A 20,720-nucleotide genomic window follows, 5' to 3' on the forward strand; every position below is an offset into this window, starting at 1 on the left:
GTGACATCCCAGGGAAGTCAGCTACCACCAGCCCCAAAGTAGACACTGGCCTGGGTATCCTAGCTGGAAGGCACAGGTGGTGAAGGCATTTGGGAAACATGAGAATGATGGGACAGGAAGCAGTGGGGGAGCATGGGGTGGCAAAGGGGAATGTTTGCCTGGAGTTTGGGCAGGTGCCACCAGGGACCTGAACCTCTGCTTTTGTCTTTACAGTGACCGAAGGAAGAGACCAAGATGAATGCAGAGGTGAGTTCTTTACAAAGACCAGTTTAAGGGATGCTTTTCTTATTGTGTCCCTCATTTCTCCTTTGCAGAGTCTCCATTCCCTTTCAGAAACATCAGCACAAACTTGAGAACATTTCCCCTCTAGCCTACTGAAGTGCACGTGGTTCTGGGTGATGCAGGAAGAACTAGGCCCCTCTGAGTTCTTATCTGTGTCTGTCTGGCTTCATTCGAACTTACCCACTGCAGCTAATCCTGAAACAACACTCCCTAGCTCTGGCTAGTAGTGGGGCATGGAGGTTGCTGGGCCCAGATCCCTGCTTTGTGTTATTCTGGAAACACTTTCTCTGCATTGTCTCCTTGGTGCTCTCACTTCCAGTTCTTTGATGCATGGAGATGTCTAGCTCCTTATCCTTTTGTTTTTTCCTTTTGTTTTACCCATCAGCCCCTTCCTCTGTTCACTCCCTTCCAAGTGGAGCCTAGACCTTGGGGTTCATCACTTCAGCCACTGCTGTGCTGACGCCCACTATGCTTTTCCCACTTGTCCTGTCCATCCACATGGCAAACACAGAGGCCATCCCCACAAGAGGGGGGTCTTGGGTGAGTGGCACAGCCTTGTGCTGTTTGCAGCTGGCAGATGTCTCAACACCCTTATCTGGTGCTCAGCACCACCCGCCAGGCCCCCTGTCACTCTAGGCAGCTCCTTGCCAGTGCCCTGAACCCCCAGCTCCAGGCTTCATCCCTCTCCCTAAGCTCTGTCCTCCTCGAAGGTCCCCCTCACTCTTAGCATCAGGATCCCTTTTCATTTTACAGAGGAAAATGTAAACATTCCATCTGACATCATCTCCCTCAATTCCTGCCTCTCCATTTGTCCTGTTCCTCCTGTCACAGTGCAAGGGATGTTTGTCAGTGAGAAAGTTCCAGGTTGTGAACACCAGAAAGCCTGACTTAATGTGGCTTTTTCCTGGAAGTCCAGGTGAAGGGCAGGCTTCAGGGCTGGTCGATCCTGCGGCTCAGTGACTGCCTCAAGGATCCAGGAGCTTTTCATCTCTCTGCTCTCCATCCAGCTGTTGGTTGCATCCTAGGGCAGGTGCCCATGTGGCAGCAAGATGGCTGCAGTGGCAGTTGGGGCCACATATGTTCGCATTCCCTTTCATCAGCAGGAAGAAGTGGCTTCCTGCAACTCCTTCAGGGGAGTGGGAGCCTTTATTTGAAGCCCCATCAAATGTCTCCTTCGGTCTTATTGGCCAGAATCAGGTCCTGGACCATAGTGTGTCTGAGGAGCAGGGATTTTGTGATTGGCTTCAACTACTCAGGCCCATCCTGGAGCAGCTTCCCCCCTGCCCCAGGGCTGGGTGTGGAAAGAAGAAAGGGGGATGTATCCCTGTCTGGTATGAGACATTCCTGGTCCATTTTCATGCTGCTATAAAGAACTGCCCAAGACTGGGTAATTTAAAAAGGAAAGAGGTTTAATTGACTCACAGTTCAGCATGGCTGGGGAGGCCTCAGGAAACAACAATTATGGTGGAAGGCAAAGGGAAAGCAAGGCACCTTCTTCACAAGGTGGCAAGAAGGCAAAGTGCTGAGCGAAGGGGGAAGACCCCCTTATAAAACCATCAGATCTCGTGAGAACTCACTATCATGAGAACGGCATGGGGGAAACCACCCCCGTGATTCAGTTACCTCCACCTGGCTCCTCCCTTGACACACAGGGATTATGGGGATTACAATTCAAGATGAGATTTGGGTGGGGACACAAAGTATAACCATATCACCTAGTGACGGTATACCCTTCTCCTCTGAAACTGCACACTCCTGCCTGCTCAGACCTTGCACCACCTCCTTAGTTATCTCCTTTGCCATGTGCATCATTAACCTAATTCCCACTACCTCTTTCTCATCGATATTTCAAAATGCTTTCTTCAGAACAAAATGACACCTCACATCTTGTCCAGCAACTGTTATCCTATCTTTCTTTTTTTAATTTAATTTTATTTTATTATTATTATACTTTAAGTTTTAGGGTACATGTGCATAATGTGCAGGTTAGTTACATATGTATACATGTGCCATGTTGGTGTACTGCACTCATTAACTTGTCATTTAACATTAGGTATATCTCCTAATGCTATCCCTCCCCTCTCCCCCCACCCCACAACAGTCCCCGGAGTTCGATGTTCCCCTTCCTGTGTCCATGTGTTCTCATTGTTCAATTCCCACCTATCAGTGAGAACATGCGGTGTTTGGTTTTTTGTCCTTGCGATAGCTTGCTGAGAATGATGATTTCCAGTTTCATCCATGTCCCTACAAAGGACATGAACTCATCATTTTTTATGGCTGCATAGTATTCCATGGTGTATATGTGCCACATTTTCTTAATCCAGTCTATCATTGATGGACATTTGGGTTGGTTCCAAGTCTTTGCTTTTGTGAATAGTGCCGCAATAAACATACGTGTGCATGTGTCTTTATAGCAGCATGATTTATAGTCCTTTGGGTATATACCCAGTAATGGGATGGCTGGGTCAAATGGTATTTCCAGTTCTAGATCCCTGAGGAATCGCCACACTGACTTCCACAAGGGTTGAACTAGTTTACAGTCACACCAACAGTGTAAAAGTGTTCTTGTTTCTCCACATCCTCTCCAGCACCTGTTGTTTCCTGACTTTTTAATGATCACCATTCTAACTGGTGTGAGATGGCATCTTATTGTGGTTTTGATTTGCATTTCTCTGATGGCCAGTGATGATGAGCACTTTTTCATGTGTTTTTTGGCTACATAAATGTCTTCTTTTGAGAAGTGTCTATTCATATCCTTCGCCCACTTTTTGATGGGGTTGTTTGTTTTTTTCTTGTAAATTTGTTTGAGTTCATTGTAGATTCTGGATATTAGCCCTTTGTCAGATGAGTAGGTTGGGAAAATTTTCTCCCATTTTGTAGGTTGCCTGTTCACTCTGATGGTAGTTTCTTTTGCTGTGCAGAAGCTCTTTAGTTTAATTAGATCCCATTTGTCCATTTTGGCTTTTGTTGCCATTGCTTTTGGTGTTTTAGACATGAAGTCCTTGCCCATGCCTATGTCCTGAATGGTATTGCCTAGGTTTTCTTCTAGGGTTTTATGGTTTTAGGTCTAACATGTAAGTCTTTAATCCATCTTGAATTAATTTTTGTATAAGGTGTAAGGAAGGGATCCAGTTTCAGCTTTCTACATATGGCTAGCCAGTTTTCCCAGCACCATTTATTAAATAGGGAATCCTTTCCCCATTGCTTGTTTTTGTCGGGTTTGTCAAAGATCAGATAGTTGTAGATATGCGGCATTATTTCTGAGGGCTCTGTTCTGTTCCATTGATCTATATCTCTGTTTTGGTACCAGTACCATGCTGTTTTGGTTACCGTAGCCTTGTAGTATAGTTAGAAGTCAGGTAGTGTGATGCCTCCGGCTTTGTTCTTTTGGCTTAGGATTGACTTGGCAATGCGGGCTCTTTTTTGGTTCCATATGAACTTTAAAGTAGTTTTTTCCAATTCTGTGAAGAAAGTCATTTGTAGCTTGATGGGGATGGCATTGAATATATAAATTACCTTGGGCAGTATGGCCATTTTCACGATATTGATTCTTCCAACCCATGAGCATGGAATGTTCTTCCATTTGTTTGTATCCTCTTTTATTTCATTGAGCAGTGGTTTGTAGTTCTCTTTGAAGAGGTCCTTCACGTCCCTTGTAAGTTGGATTCCTACCCATTTTATTCTCTTTGAAGCAATTGTGAATGGGAGTTCACTCATGATTTGACTCTCTGTTTGTCTGTTATTGGTGTATAACAATGCTTGTGATTTTTGTACATTGATTTTGTACCCTGAGACTTTGCTGAAGTTGCTTATCAGCTTAAGGAGATTTTGGGCTGAGACAATGGGGTTTTCTAGATATACAATCATGTCATCTGCAAACAGGGACAATTTGACTTCCTCTTTTCCTAATTGAATACCCTTTATTTCCTTCTCCTGCCTGATTGCCCTGGCCAGAACTTCCAACACTATGTTGAATAGGAGTGGTGAGAGAGGGCATCCCTGTCTTGTGCCAGTTTTCAAAGGGAATGCTTCCAGTTTTTGCCCATTCGTTATGATATTGGCTGTGGGTTTGTCATAGATAGCTCTTATTATTTTGAGATATGTCCCATCAATACCTAATTTATTGAGAGTTTTTAGCATGAAGCATTGTTGAATTTTGTCAAGGGCCTTTTCTGCATCTATTGAGATAATCATGTGGTTTTTGTCTTTGGTTCTGTTTATATGCTGGATTACCGTTATTGATTTGCATATGTTGAACCAGCCTTGCATTCCAGGGATGAAGCCCACTTGATCATGGTGGATAAGCTTTTTGATGTGCTGCTGGATTTGGTTTGCCAGTATTTTATTGAGGATTTTTGCATCAATGTTCATCAAGGATATTGGTCTAAAATTCTCTTTTTTGGTTGTGTCTCTGCCAGGCTTTGGTATCAGGATGACGCTGGCCTCATAAAATGAGTTAGGGAGGATTCCCTCTTTTTCTGTTGATTGTAATAGTTTCAGAAGGAATGGTACCAGCTCCTCCTTGTACCTCTGGTAGAATTTGGCTGTGAATCCATCTCGTCCTGGACTCTTTTTGGTTGATAAGCTATTGATTATTGCCACAATTTCAGAGCCTGTTATTGGTCTATTCAGAGATTCAACTTCTTCCTGGTTTAGTCTTGGGAGGGTGTATGTGTTGAGGAATTTATCCATTTCTTCTAGATTTTCTAGTTTATTTGCGTAGAGGTGTTTGTAGTATTCTCTGATGGTAGTTTGTATTTCTGTGGGATTGGTAGTGATATCCCCTTTATCATTTTTTATTGCGTCTATTTGATTCTTCTCTCTTTTCTTATTTATTAGTCTTGCTAGCGGTCTATCAATTTTGTTGATCTTTTCAAAAAACCAGCTCCTGGATTCATTAATTTTTTTGAAGGGTTTTTTGTGTCTCTGTTTCCTTCAATTCTGCTCTGATTTTAGTTATTTCTTGCCTTCTGCTAGCTTTTGAATGTGTTTGCTCTTGCTTTTCTAGTTCTTTTAATTGTGATGTTAGGGTGTCAATTTTAGATCTTTCCTGCTTTCTCTTGTGGGCATTTAGTGCTATAAATTTCCCTCTACACACTGCTTTGAATGTGTCCCAGAGATTCTGGTATGTTGTGTCTTTATTCTCATTGGTTTCAAAGAACATCTTTATTTCTGCCTTCATTTCATTATGTACCCAGTAGTCATTCAGGAGCTGGTTGTTCAGTTTCCATGTAGTTGAGCAGTTTTGAGTGAGTTTCTTAATCCTGAGTTCTAGTTTGATTGCACTGTGGTCTGAGAGACAGTTTGTTATAATTTCTGTTCTTTTACATCTTCTGAGGAGTGCTTTACTTCCAACTGTGTGGTCAGTTTTGGAATAGGTCTGGTGTGGTGCCGAAAAAAATGTATATTCTGTTGATTTGGGGTGGAGAGTTCTGTAGATGTCTATTAGGTCTGCTTGGTGCAGAGCTGAGTTCAATTCCTGGGTATCCTTGTTAACTTTCTGTCTCGTTGATTTGTCTAATGTTGACAGTGGGGTGTTAAAGTCTCCCATTATTATTGTGTGGGAGTCTAAGTCTCTTTGTAGGTCACTCAGGACTTGCTTTATGAATCTGGGTGCTCCTGTATTGGGTGCATATATATTTAGGATAGTTAGCTCTTCTTGTTGAATTGATCCCTTTATCATTATGTAATGGCCTTCTTTGTCTCTTTTGATCTTTGTTGGTTTAAATTCTGTTTTATCAGAGACTAGGATTGCAACCCCTACCATTTTTTGTTTTCCATTTGCTTGGTAGATCTTCCTCCATCCCTTTATTTTGAGCCTATGTGTGTCTCTGCACGTGAGATGGGTTTCCTGAATACAGCACACTGATGGGTCTTGACTCTTTATCCAATTTGCCAGTCTGTGTCTTTTAATTGGAGCATTTAGCCCATTTACATTTAAAGTTAATATTGTTATGTGTGAATTTGATCCTGTCATTATGATGTTAGCTGGTTATTTTGCTCGTTAGTTGATGCAGTTTCTTCCTAGCCTTGATGGTCTTTACAATTTGGCATGTTTTTGCAGTGGCTGGTACCGGTTGTTCCTTTCCATGTTTAGTGCTTCCTTCAGGAGCTCTTTTAGGGCAGGCCTGGTGGTGACAAAATCTCTCAGCATTTGCTTGTCTGTAAAGTATTTTATTTCTCCTTCACTTATGAAGCTTAGTTTGGCTGGATATGAAATTCTGGGTTGAAAATTCTTTTCTTTAAGAATGTTGAATATTGGCCCCCACTCTCTTCTGGCTTGTAGAGTTTCTGCCGAGAGATCCGCTGTTAGTCTGATGGGCTTCCCTTTGTGGATAACCCGACCTTTCTCTCTGGCTGCCCTTAACATTTTTTCCTTCATTTCAACTTTGGTGAATCTGACAATTATATGTCTTGGAGTTGCTTTTCTCGAGGAGTATCTTTGTGGTGTTCTCTGTATTTCCTGAATCTGAATGTTGGCCTGCCTTGCTAGATTGGGGAAGTTCTCCTGGATAATATCCTGCAGAGTGTTTTCTAACTTCGTTCCATTCTCCCCGTCACTTTCAGGTACACCAATCAGACGTAGATTTGGTCTTTTCACATAGTCCCATATTTCTTGGAGACTTTGTTCATTTCTTTTTATTCTTCTTTCTCTAAACTTCCCTTCTCGCTTCATTTCATTCATTTCATCTTCCGTCACTGATACCCTTTCTTCCAGTTGATCGCATTGGCTCCTGAGGCTTCTGCATTCTTCACGTAGTTCTCGAGCCTTGGCTTTCAGCTCCATCAGCTCCTTTAAGCATTTCTCTGTATTGGTTATTCTAGTTATACATTCATCTAATTTTTTTTCAAAGTTTTTAACTTCTTTGCCATTGGTTTGAATTTCCTCCTGTAGCTCAGAGTAGTTTGATCATCTGAAGCCTTCTTCTCTCAACTCATCAAAGCCATTCTCCGTCCAGCTTTGTTCCGTTGCTGGTGAGGAACTGCATTCCTTTGGAGGAGGAGAGGCGCTCTGCTTTTTAGAGTTTCCAGTTTTTCTGCTCTGTTTTTTCCCCATCTTTGTGGTTTTATCTACCTTTGGTCTTTGATGATGGTGATGTACAGATGGGTTTTTGGTGTGGATGTCCTTTCTGTTTGTTAGTTTTCCTTCTAACAGACAGGACCCTCAGTTGCAGGTCTGTTGGAGTTTGCTAGAGGTCCACTCCAGACCGTTTGCCTGGGTATCAGCAGCGGTGGCTGCAGTACAGCGGTGGCTGTAGAACAGCGGATTTTCGTGAACCGCAAATGCTGCTGCCTGATCGGTCCTCTGGAAGTTTTGTCTCAGAGGAGTACCTGGCTGTGTGAGGTGTCAGTCTGCCCCTACTTGGGGGTGCCTCCCAGTTAGGCTGCTCGGGGGTCAGGGACCCACTTGAGGAGGCAGTCTGCCTGTTCTCAGATCTCCAGCTGCGTGCTGGGAGAACCACTACTCTCTTCAAAGCTGTCAGACAGGAACGTTTAAGTCTGCAGAGGTTACTGCTGTCTTTTTGTTTGTCTGTGCCCTGCCCCCAGAGGTGGAGCCTACAGAGGCAGGCAGGCCTCCTTGAGCTGTGGTGGGCCCCACCCAGTTCGAGCTTCCCGGCTGCTTTGTTTACCTAAGCAAGCCTGGGCAATGGCAGGCGCCCCTCCCCCAGCCTTGCTGCCACCTTGCAGTTTGATCTCAGACTGCTGTGCTAGCAATCAGCGAGACTCCGTGGGCATAGGACCCGCCGAGCCATGTGCAGAATATAATCTCCTGTTGTGCTGTTTTTTAAGCCTGTTGGAAAAGCGCAGTATTAGGGTGGGAGTGACCCAATTTTCCAGGTGCTGTCTGTCACCCCTTTCTTTGACTAGGAAAGGGAACTCCCTGACCCCTTGCGCTTCCCGAGTGAGGCACTGCCTCGCCCTGCTTCGGCTTGCACACGGTGCACTGCACCCACTGTCTGGCACTCCCTAGTGAGGTGAACCCGGTACCTCAGATGGAAATGCAGAAATCACCCGTCTTCTGCGTTGCTCACGCTGGGAGCTGTAGACCGGAGCTGTTCCTATTCGGCCATCTTGGCTCCACTATCCTATCTTTCTCATCCCCTGCAAGGCAGGCTTCTCAAAAAAGATACCTGCAGTTAATTTCTCCGTTTTCTCTTCCCTGGGTCATTCTCAGCCTGTTGCAGTCTGGTTTCTTTTCCCATATTATATACCGAAATGAGTCTTGTCAGGGTCAATGATGATCTCTGTAAATTTTATAAAAATTTATTTTGTAATAATGTAGACACATGTTCATAGTGTAAAACTCAGGCTACAGAATGGAAAACAGCCAAAAGTAAGTCTCCCTATTACGTTATCTTGACCAGCCCTGCCCCACTTGGGGCTGACTTCTGGTAACCACTTTCTTGTGCCTCTGACCTCCTTATCTGAAGGCCCCTGTGGCTCACCCTGTGGCTTGCTCTAATTCTTAGGATCTTTTAAGTTCTAAAGAAACAATAGAAGCTTTGCATTAATATTAAGCTTATACACCCTGGTCCAGGAGCAGTTCCATCAGTCATCAGTGATCTCTTCTGTCCTTTTTGATGGCTTTTCCTCTTAACCTTGTAAGAACATGCTAGACTTGGGTCCTCCTCTGCTGTTCCTTACATATATATATTTTATATTTTTTTTCTTTTTCTTTTTTTTTGAGATAGAGCCTCATTCTGTCACCCAGCTGGAGTACAGTGGCGTGATCTTGGCTCACTGCAACCTCTGCCTCCCGGGTTCATGCGATTCTCCCACCTCAGCCTACCAAGTAGCTGGGATTACAGGAGCACCACCACACCTGGGTAATTTTTGTGTTTTTAGTAGAGATGGGGTTTCACTATGTTGGCCAGGCTGGGCTTGAACCCCTGACCTCGAGTGATCCTCCCACCTCGGCCTCCCAAAGTGCTGGGTTTACAGGCATGAGCCACCATGCCTGTCACTCATCTCAGTCACAGCTGCCACAGGGACCCCAAGCCCGTTATAACCCAGGCTGTACTTTCTGCTTTCACCTGCCCCAAATCTGCTCCTCCTCGAAGGGCCATCTGTGGGCCAGGCGCTCCAGTCCCCTCACTCTGTTCCCACAAGCCAGCAGCCAGTGACCAAGGCTGTAAATCCTGTCATTGCCTTGATGTAGTCACCAATATTTATGTGACACCATACTGTACCAGACTCTAGACCTGGCTTGATGGCTCTAATGGTAAAAATGTAAGTGTGGTACTCATGCTCATGGAACTTATCGCTAAGTGGGACCACCATATCTTTCCAGTCTGTCCCTTCCTTATCCTACTTCCTGCCTCCTCATCACTTCCTCACTTACCTAATTCTTTTCTTCTTCTCCTTTGCTTTCCTCACCCTCCTCTAGGCCATTCCCTCTCCCTTTTGGAAGGCAGGGGGAAGAGACCTCAGGCACAGGGACGGTCCACACACCCAGTTCCTGACACATTGCCTCTGTTGTGCTGTGCAAGGCCCCGCTCTCAGACTTATTTATATTTTATTCATTTTCTCTCCATCCCCATTCTCACCCTGCCAAAGCCAACTATTCTAATGAATTAAGTGGTTTTCCTTTTTTATTTGTGTATGTTCATGAAACATTTTGTTTTTGTGCAAATACCTTCTAAATTTATATACAGTAGGCTGGGCGCCGTGGCGCATGCCTGTAATCCCAAAACTTTGGGAGGCCGAGGTGGGCGGATCAACTGAGGTCAGGAGTTTGATACCAGCCTGGCCAACATGGCGAAACCCCATCTCTACTAAAAATACAAAAATTAGGCGTAGTGGCACATGCCTGTAATCCCAGCTACTCAGGAGGCTGAGGCAGGAGAATCACTTGAACCCAGGAGGCAGAGGTTGCAGTGAGCCAAGATTGTGCCATTGCACTCCAGCCTGGGCTACAGAGCAAGACTCTGCCTCAAAAAAAAAAAAAAAATTATATGCAGTAAAACTGCCTCTTTTTTTTTGGTGTAGAGGTTTACCCATTAAAACACATATGTGTAACCATCACCCCAGGATGTCAGGATGCAGAACCTCACCCCAAAACATTCTTTTCTGTTGCCCCTTTATAGTCACAACCTCCCCTTGCTACTGACCCCTGGCAACATATATCACCTCCTGTGTGATATACTTTTTTTTTCCTGAAACAGTCTCACCCTTGTCACCCAGGCTGGAGTGCAGTGGTGTGATCTCAGCTCACTGCAACCTCGGCCTCCCGTTTCAAGCAATTCTTCAGCTGCAGCCTCCCATGTAGCGGGGATTATAGGAGTGGGCCACCACACCCAGCTAATTTTAGTAGAGACTGAGTTTTGCCATGTTGGCCAGGCTGGTCTTGAACTCCTGACCTCAAGTGACCCAAATGCCTCTCGACCTCCCAAAGTGCTGGGATTACAGGCATGAGCCACAGTGCCCAGCCTGATATACTTTTAATGTACATAATTGTATTTTATATCATTTATATCTCATTCTCCATTTTTCTGTATGTTAAAGATATATAGTTAATCTGCTACACAGCAGCCCAGAATGTGCATCCATTTAGTCCTAACAAAAGGCCTAGGAGCAAGATGCTATTATTACCCATTTTGTAGATGAGGAAAATGAGCAATAAGTCAATTGCTGTAAGTCACAGGGGGTTAAGGAGCATCACAGAGATCTAAGCCCTGATGTTTTTGACCCATGAATGCCTTTGTTCTTGCCTATATCCAGCTAATCCCATCCATCCAGTTCAAATGTCCTTTGTACTGCACAAACAGTTTTCTCAAGAGTCCTCTCTCGGGAAGTCATACCTCCCTCTTATGAATTTCCATTGTGCTTTATGTATCTTTTCTTTCGTTACCTTCCCCTCCTGCTTTGACTGTAGCTGTCGGGGTGCCTCGCTCATCTTAGCATCCCCATGGCATCTGACTTGATGCCTCATGCATAGCTTATCTTCACTAATTATCAGTTGACTAAATGATAGGATGATTCAGAGACTGTTAAGTAATCTTCTAATGCAATCCAGAGCTTGGGAGGGTCAGTGAAAGTGTAGAGAAAGGAAATCATATGACAGAAATTTTCAAGCAAAACTAGTTGTGGCCCAGAGGCTGGCTGGAGGGAGAAAGACAGAAGAAGGACCATCGGCCACAGTCGGGCTTTGATCCCAGGATGTTTGTTGAATGCAGGAATGACTCCAAGCATTTAAAGCTGGGGGCTGCCAGGATTCCTAGAGCTACTGGCTTTTGCCCAGAAGTTCAGAGTACAACCTGTCAGGAAGGGTGGATAATTGGAGTTTAGCACACAGCGTGAAGATCCAGGGCGCGGTGGGAAAGCCAGGTTGAAATGCCTTGGGAATGCGGCTTGGAAGAGAGGATGGCCCACAGCTCAGGATGCTAGGGTCTTTGGCATAGAGGTGGTCATGGAAACCCTGAGAATGAGGGACCCCCATATTCTGGGGACATGGGAGAGAGAGAAAAATAGAGGGATGAAGACTGAGCTTTGGGAAATATGCACATCTTGGGTAAAATGAAGAAAGAAAGTGAAATGTGAAAAGAAAACCTCGGTAGCATGAGGTAAGAGAAGAAAGGAAGGAGTGAGTTTGAAGAAGGTCCAGGTAAGGGTCACTCATGTCTGAAGTCCAGGAGGATGTGGCTGAGAAGAAGCCCTTGAATGTGATGAGAAGGTCTTGGATGACCCACGGTGAAGCAGGGAGGTATGGGAGTGAAAACCAATTGCAGCAGGGCCAGGAGGGGTGAGAGGAGTCTGGGGCACTTGGGGTCATTGGACAGGGCAGGGGCAGGGGCAGCAGAGGACTCTGAGCACTGTAGAGGGAGCTCCAGGAAGGGAAGCGGGAGTGAGCCAAGGCGCTATACACTGCAGAATTCTCACCTTCCTAGAGCAGCCCTCTGATATTTATGTCTGTTTTCAGTGGTGGTTTATATTTTAGATAGTGAATACATTTGTGTGATTCTAAACTTTAAAGAGGAAAAAAAGAAAAAAAAATATTTTCTATGAGAAGCCTTCTTCCCTCCTATCCCTGTTTCCCAGCCACTCTGTTTTTCTTGCTCCCAGCAAGAGCATGTCGCCAGTTTCAGTGTTACAGGTTTCTGGGCTGTCCTTTCAAAGAGATTCTAAACATAGACAGTATCTTTTTCCTTTGGCTACCACCCCTCCTGTTACTACACAGACTGTAGCACACAGTGCACACTAGGCTGTCGTTTGCTTCTTTCACCCGATCATCTATCTTGGAGACCAGTCCCTTTCAATATATAAAGGGCTTCCTCGTTCTTTTATTTTTATATTGCCATGTAATACTCTATATCACGAGTCTATCATAACTTTCATAGCCAGCCTGTTATTAATGACATATAGATTATTTCCATCTTTTGCTTGTTATAAGCAAGGCTGCAGTAAGCCTAAGTCACTTGACTTGTGTAGCTCTATAGGACACATTATCTTACAGTTGGATTTACCAGAACAAAGGGCATTTGCATTTTAATTTGTAATAAATATTTCCAAGTTGCTCTCCATAAAGCAGGTTCTTCTCTCCCTCCTGCAACATATGAACATACCTGTTTCCCCAGGCCAACCAATGTGTTATCAAACTTTTTTTTAATTCTTGCAAATAGTGGATGAAAACGACTAGTTTGTTCTGTCCAACTGCCTGGACTCTCCTTCCACCTTTTCAGCACCTGCCCTCATGCCTCACCTTGAAGTTTTTCTACAGTGATTTTACATTTTCTTCTACCCTCTTTATCTCAAAAAAAATTTTTTTTCTAAGTTGGCAGAGCACATTCCTAACTATGAACTCCATTTTTGCATCTGGAGTGCCAAACACCAGCTTCTCTGAGTCCAAGGGTGGGGGCGCAAGCTCACTCTGTGACTGTGATTTGGACCTAAGTGAGTTTTTTAGTCACTTTGCTGTGCTTATGTGTCCTTTTCTGCTGTCTCAAAACTGCTCCTGTTCTTTGTTCCTTAAATACCACCTCTATAGGGCTATTTGTAGTGGCATTTTCCCAAAGGTTCAGGATAGCAGAGCACAGCAGACAACTGAAAATGGAACTGTGGATGTCCTGGTTTCTGGAAGTCCATTGCTCCCTCCTCCACTGGGCGTTTCTCACTGGCTTCCTTCTCTGCAGATTTTAGCCTTTTGCTAACCTGCGTGCACTTTCCCCTTTCCTCTGCCTCCTACTGGTTCCTAGCCCCAAAGTTTTAGCTGCTACTACAGAGTGGTCTAGCCATCTCTGATTTGCAGTTTCCCTTCAGAACGCACCTTCAAGATCCCTCATGTAAAATGAAGAGGCTCACGTTAAAAGGCCTAACAAGTAATTTTTCTCAAAAATAAAGTTCTTCCCCTAAGAGCAGCTTGACTATTAAGATACCAGTGTCTTCACTCATATCTTTTTTTTTTTTTTTTTTTTTTTGAGATGGAGTGTTGCTCTGTCGCCCAGGCTGAAGTGCAGTGGTGCAATCTTGGCTCACCGCAACCCCTGCCTCCCCGGTTCAAGCGATTCTCCTGCCTCAGGCTACCAAGTAGCTGGGGTTACAGGCACCCGCCACCACCATACCTGGCTAATTTTTTGTATTTTTAGTAGAGGCAGGGTTTCACTATGTTGGTCGGGCAAGTCTGGAAACTCCTGACCTCAAGTGATCCGCCCACCTCAGCCTCCCAGAGTGCTGGGTTTACAGACATGAGCTACTGCACTGGGCCTTTCACCCATATCTTGTCCCTGTGTGTCAGTTTTGCAAGGCAGTAATATCGAAACCAAATCCTAAAGCAGTTTATAATTTAGCCTGACACACTGTGCAAGCCAGGTTTTGTATGCAAGTTTGTGTGTATCATTAACTAATGAAATCTTAAAAAGCAGTTTGGCTTATTTATAGATAATGGAGCTGTTTCTTAACCTTGTGCCTTTTTTTTAAGCTGGTAGAAGCATATCCTGGTTATTATCTGGAATGTAGTAATACGGTAACCTTAAGAATGCCATAAATATTTAACCTAATAAGGGGATTGCTAGTCTTCTTTTCTTGATTGAAAGGGAAACAAATATTAATATTTGATCATTAATATGTGTTTTGGCTGTACAGATTTCTCCAGAGGCTGTCTTACTGCTTTTTGGTAATTAGAAATTACCAAAAAAAAAAAAAAAGAAAAGAAAACAAGACTAGTAACCCAAAAAGGACTTACTTGGTGAAATTGTCAATTGTCAGTTGGGCACTGTGGCCACTCCTTCCTATACTCTTCCCTGACTTCCAGAAGAGAAGCCAGGAACTAGGTCTCCCAGAGTCCCCTTTTATATGTGAAGTCCACTCCCAGGACTCCCAGGAAACTTGCAAGGCTGAAGAAAGAGAGGCAGTTAGTCATAGGAGACAGTTCAGTCAGATGTGTGAGCCAAGGCCAGTGTATGGTTTAGCAGCAGTGGACAGTCAGGCTCTGTGAATCACTCTTCCCAAGCTGCAGGCTGACAGAGGCTGAGATCCTTTCCAGACGTCTTGGCTTCTGGGCAAGTTCTGGAGAATCTCTCGCTTCAATATTGAATTGTATAACAACAGTACAAGGTCTAGGAGAAAAGAAATGGAAGTGTACTGTTGTCAGGTTCTTTATAGTATATGTGGAATAGTGCATAATATTACTTTAAAGTAGACTGTGGTAAGTAAAATATATAATATAAAATCCTTAACTTCTGAAAAAGAGTTATAGCTAATAGCCAACAAATGGGATAAAATGGAATCATAATAAATATTCTAATTAATCCAAAATAAGGCAGGAAAAGAGGGGAAAAAGAACAGATTGAACAAATAGCAGGATTTCTATAGAATTTGAATGGAAACCCAACCATATCAATAATCACAATGTAAATTGTCTAAACGTTTCAACTAAAAGGCAGAGATTGTTAGACTGAGTAAAAAAAAGCAAGACCTAACTATATGCTGCCTATAAGAAACTAACTATAGCTATGAAAACACATATAGATTAAATGTGAAAGGTTGGGGAAAAAATGTATTATGCAACACTGATCAACAGAAATTGGGAATGGATTGTTAATATCAGACAAAATAAATTATAGGGCAAAAAATATTACCAGGAATAAAAATGGTCATTTTAGAAAGATAAAGGGGTCAATTAAAAAAAAGGACATAACCATCCTAAACTTGTATGTATCTAATAACAGAGTTTTGAAATATGTGGGTCAAAACTGATAGAACTGAAAGGAGAAATACACAGTTATATACAATTATATTCAGAGATTTCTCTACCCTCAATAATTGCTAGAGCAAGGAGACAGAAAATCAGGAAGGATACGAAGACCTGAACAACACAATCAACCAACTTGATCTAACAGACTTATAGAACACTCCACCCAACAATAGCAGAATACACATTCTTTTCAAGTGTGCCCAGAACATTAACCAAGGTAGACCACATCCCGTATCATAAAATATCTCAATAAATCTAAAAGGATTCAAATCATTTAAAGAATGTTCTCTGACCACAGTGGGATTAAATGAGAAATCAATAATAGAAAAACATTTGGCAAATCCCCAAACATTTGGAAGAAATCCTGGAAGGAGAAGACAAGAGCAGTGGGCACAGGAAGAGGGGCAGAGTCAGTGGGAAGTGGTGACAACTGGGTACAGAGGTGAAGAAAAGGGGCAAATCTGAGATGACATTCATGTTTCTATGCTCAGAGGCATCCAAGAAGTGAGTTTAAGGGATGCATGGAGATAATTTTTTTTTTTTTGAGATAGAGTCTCACTCTGTCACCCAGGCTGGAGTGCAGTGGCGCTATCTTGGGTCACTGCAATCTCCGCCTCCCAGGTTCAAGCAATTCTCCTGCCTCGGCCTCCTAAGTAGCTGGGATTACAGGCGCCTGCCAACAGGCCCAGCTAATTTTTGTATTTTTAGTAGAGACGAGGTTTCTCCATGTTGGCCAGGCTGGTCTGGAACTCCTGACCTCAAGTGATCCACCTGCCTCGGCCTCCCAAAGTGCTGGGATTACAGGCGTGAGCCACCGTGCCCAGTGCATGGAGATAAATTTTATCAGTTTTTATTATACTGAGTTGCTGTATAACTTAAAAGTCAGTTTGATTTTTCACTGTAATACTGTTCACATACAGCCTCCAGCAGTGCACTTAAATAATATTTAAGATACTGCAGTATCTTAAATGTGGAACTCAGAAGGCTGTAGTGAAGAGTCAAAGCCTCTGGATCCCACGCTGAGTAAGGTGACCAATCATGGTTTGCCCATTTGCCTCCTCTGCCAGCATCTGATGAAGAAGCTGTGCCCTCTGAATGACTCCCAGTAGTATCAGATTCATGTGTCCACTGGAGGAGGGACCCAGGGAGGGCAGAAGTACCAGGCCATGGGCTGGGTCTGGGTTAATGGGGAAAGCTCCCTCATTATTGGAGATGGGGCAGTAGAAGTGGAGAGCCAAATTGGGGGAACACTTTCTGTGGGTACTCGGAAGGTTTTCAACCTAAAGACATGGTGGAGCACCTTCAAGAACAGGTTTTGGCGGGACTGACTTCTCTCCAAGCCCCCATTTCGGGGACTGTCTCATCCCATCCTGATGCTGTGGCTTCCTGTGTGTTTTGGGCTGGCTTCCATCTTGCTCGTCGGGACCCTGCCAGCTCCTTTGTTTTGTAGTTTTCTGCTCGATGCCTACAGTGTTTTCAGACTCCACCTTGGTCCCTTGTGTTTCAGCCCGAGAGGAAGTTTGGCGTGGTGGTGGTTGGTGTTGGCCGAGCCGGCTCCGTGCGGATGAGGGACTTGCGGAATCCACACCCTTCCTCAGCGTTCCTGAACCTGATTGGCTTCGTGTCGAGGTGGCTCACAATGTCTTTGTGCTTCATAATTCATGGAAAGCCCAGTGAGGCGGATTAGCTGCAGGACATGGAGATTTTCCAGACCCAGGGCAGGGAGAGCCATCTCCCAACTGAGAACTGTGCTTAGGGTCAGCCCCATAAGATCTCAGGTTGGGATGGGTCTGGGAACTGAAGCTTGCTGGGCCTGCAGCTGGGATGCACAGTAGGTTGGCCTGGGAGACTGGAAGACAGAGGCAGGAGGGTGAGCTCAAGGCTGACAGTTAGAGAAGGGGCACAGAAAACACATGCATGGGGCTTTGGCCTGAAAGGCTTTCGGTGTGCACCGGGGAATCCTGACATAGTCATCATGACAGCCATCCTAGGTGGTCCTGGGCTCTACATGTGATATTTCCTTCTGCGTAGTGTTATTAACCCCCCAGTTTACAGATAAGGAGGCTGAACCACAGAAAGGTTAAGTAATCTGCCTGAGGTCACACAGCTGGAAAGTCTAAGAACTGAAGTTGAGCAGAAGTCTGTTTCCAAAGCCCATCTTTTAAACACCATGTGTTCTTTTGCCATTGGTAATTTTGAGCCTCACTTTTATTATTATTATTATTTTTTTTGAGACAGAGTCTCACTCTGTCACCCAAGCTGCAGCGCAATGGTGCAATCACAGCGCACTGCAGCCTTGACCGTCTGGGCTCAAGTGATCCTCCCGCCTCACAGCTCAAGTGGTCCTCCTGCCTCAGCCTTCTGAGTAGCTGGGACTACAGACACACACACCACCACGCCTGGATAATTTTTTTTTTTTTTTTGTAGAGACAGGGTCTCCCTATGTTGCCTAGACTGGTCTCAAACTCCTGGGGTCAAGTGATCCTCCTGCCTCGGCCTCCCAAAGTGCTGAGATTATAGGCGTGAGCCAGTGCACCCAGCCTCCCCCTTTTCTTTAAGGATTCATTTATCTCCAGTCAAAATCAAACTTATCACCTTGTTTCTTCTTCCCCCATGCTCAAATTTTCCACTCACCCCTGTACACACACACACACACACGCACCACTCACCAGACTAATCCTGTATAACATCATTTGTCAATATTAATTGTGAACTAGATACAGGCACCAGACTAATCCTGTGTAACATCATTTATCCATATTAATTTTGGACTAGGTGCAGGCACTGGGCTGGGCCTGAAGACATGGTAGTGAGCAAGTTAGGCAACTCTTTTTCTAGTGCTTTAGAGACATCAGATAAATATTTACACAAAGCATAAGTAACAATTGTGATAGTCTATGTAGAAATTTTTTCATGTTTTCATTCATGGGGCCATCCTCTTCCGGCCTGTCTCAAAACATGGCCCCACTTTTAAGGATTTAAAATGGGCTTGGAAGCACCAGGGAGACCCAGAAGTGCTAGAATCTGCCCTTGGGCCAGCCTTCTCCTCCCCATAAGATTCCAAGGGAGCTGCACACAAATGGGAGAGCAAAGTTAAGATCAGGCAGCACCGTAACCCCCATCGCACCCCTATCTGGAGCTGGGACCACACACAGCACTTGGGCGCAAGGCTGAAATGGGACCTTTCCTTTTCCCTTAAGCCCCAGTCCTCTGCCAGTTGGCTTCCAGGGTCAGCTCAGTGGGAACACCTACACTACCCAGGTTGTATGGGAGGATGGCCAGGTCACACCCCTGCATGACAGCCCTGCCAGTACTCACACTGTTTCCCTCTTCACATACCCTTCCCTTCCTGACCTACCTGCTAAGTTCTACCTCCTCCCCAGGAAGCTTTTCTGGTGTATTCCTTTCCCACCCTGAGTCTCCATCTCCTACTTCCAAGCACCACATTTCTCCTGGTAGTCTTGTGGTAGTGGTATGTACGTGTGTGTGTGTGTGTGTGTGTGTGTGTCTTCCTCTAGCTGACTGAGCTCATTGAAAGGCGATGATTTTAATTTGTTCTCCATGATTTCTCCTACAGCGCCTAGTACATAATAGGCAAACAATAAGTATTGCTGAAATTGAGCAATTTAGTTTGGGTGGCCCCATTAAAGAAACCTAGCATAATACTCTTTGGGAGCTAAATTTTCCTGAATGCTTTCTGCCTGCTGCAGCTCAGCTGGAGCTCTGAGCGGGCTGAGGGCCTTCTGCTTGCTAGCTGTCCCACATTCCCCCATGACTGCCACCCTTAGAGGGCTACTCTCCTGCCCCAGCCGCTGCACTGGGAGGTGTACGGACTGCTGGGGCTTTGGCTCTTCGAAGACTGCAGCTCCCCCATGCTCTAGAAGAGTCAGAAGGCCTTGGGTTCCCCTCCTGCTTCTGCTCCTGGTTAGTCAAGGCTATCACTGCCTATTATGTGCTAGGCATTATAGGAGAAATCATGGAGAACGAATTCCTCACCTTCCAATGAGCTCAGTCGGCCAGAGGGAGGAAGACACACACACACACACAAACACACACACAGACACACACACACACAAACATGTGTGCGTACATACTACTGGGCTTCGTTAGCTTAGCTATAAAGTAGCTCGAAGTCGCATGCCAGTTTGCACCCTAAATGTGTTAACGTATTGGATTTGGATTAGGTTTGGTAGTCACAATGTTTGGCCAAGTGCTTGGAACTGGAAGTGACCATAGAGATCACTTCTCATGAGATAAAAGTAGATTGTTCCTTTTATTTTTATGTTATTTTATTTTTGAGGAGTCTTGCTCTGTCACCCAGGCTGGAGTGCTGTGGTGCAATCTCGGCTCACTGCAACCTCCATCTCCCGGATTCAAGTGATTCTCCTGCCTCAGCCTCCCAGGTAGCTGGGATTACAGGCGCCCACCACCACATTTGGCTAACTTTTGTATTTTTTGTAGATACAGGTTTTCACCATGTTGGCCAGGCTGGTCTTGAACTCCTGACCTCAAGTGATCCACCCACCTCGGCCTCCCAAAGTGCTGGGATTATAGGCTTGAGCCACCGCGCCCAGCTGTTTCTTTTGTTTTGGAGATGAAGTAATTCAAGACTCTCCCAGGTCATACACGCTGTGAATGGTACTGTTGGCACTCAATGCCAGATCCCCTGACTTGAACTCTGAGGCTATTTTTCTCACTCCACAATGGAAAATAGCCTGGAAGTGGGAGAGAAGAAACTCATTTCTTCATTTCTGGCAGCAGATCACCAGGACCTGTCGGGAGGAGGGGAGAAGGATGGTGCTCCTTTCTTCTGTCTACCATTGAGTTCCATTTCTCTGTTACTCTGAAATAGAAGGGAGCTCGGGAGCATTGATGGAGTCCAGCAGATTTCTTTGGAGGATGCTCTTTCCAGCCAAGAGGTGGAGGTCGCCTATATCTGCAGTGAGAGCTCCAGCCATGAGGACTACATCAGGTGGGTTTTCCACACAGGCAGTCCTTGCCTTACACAGCAGTGCAGTACTGCAAAAATGAGCAAGCAAGCTAAAACACCCTGCAAAGGAGTCAGAAGAGCCAGTGAGAAAATTACAATTGCTCTGTGACCAATCACAGAAGTGTCAAAACATTAAGAAATTCTTATTGCTGGTTATAAATATATAAGGAAGTGAAAAATAGTAAAATTAATATTTAGTATGTGTAATTTGAAACATTAGAAACATTCAGAATTAAAGTGTTTTATTTCTCTGTAAAA

General features: G+C 44.6%; 1 protein-coding gene across 5 annotated transcripts in view, besides 1 other annotated feature; it reads left to right on the forward strand.

The window, feature by feature from the left end:
- Positions 1-20,720, forward strand: part of BLVRA (biliverdin reductase A) — a 49,221-nt gene that overhangs the window by 12,803 nt on the left and 15,698 nt on the right. For all 5 annotated transcript variants that reach the window (XM_011515474.3, NM_001253823.2, NM_000712.4 and 2 more), the window contains 3 exons: positions 214-246; positions 16,980-17,101; positions 20,325-20,444. In XM_011515474.3, coding sequence (XP_011513776.1) covers positions 235-246; positions 16,980-17,101; positions 20,325-20,444 — 254 coding nt within the window. In that variant the 5' untranslated portion in view covers positions 214-234. The remainder of the gene's footprint in view (positions 1-213; positions 247-16,979; positions 17,102-20,324; positions 20,445-20,720) is intronic.
- Positions 13,435-13,584: an enhancer, noted in NCBI's record as "active region_25917". NCBI's record gives its function as "activates an Ori minimal core promoter by ATAC-STARR-seq in GM12878 lymphoblastoid cells {active_cell/tissue: GM12878}" and the evidence as "EXISTENCE:reporter gene assay evidence [ECO:0000049][PMID:35858748]".

Source organism: Homo sapiens, chromosome 7 (genome assembly GCF_000001405.40).
Source record: "Homo sapiens chromosome 7, GRCh38.p14 Primary Assembly".
Taxonomy (NCBI): Eukaryota; Metazoa; Chordata; class Mammalia; order Primates; family Hominidae; genus Homo; species Homo sapiens.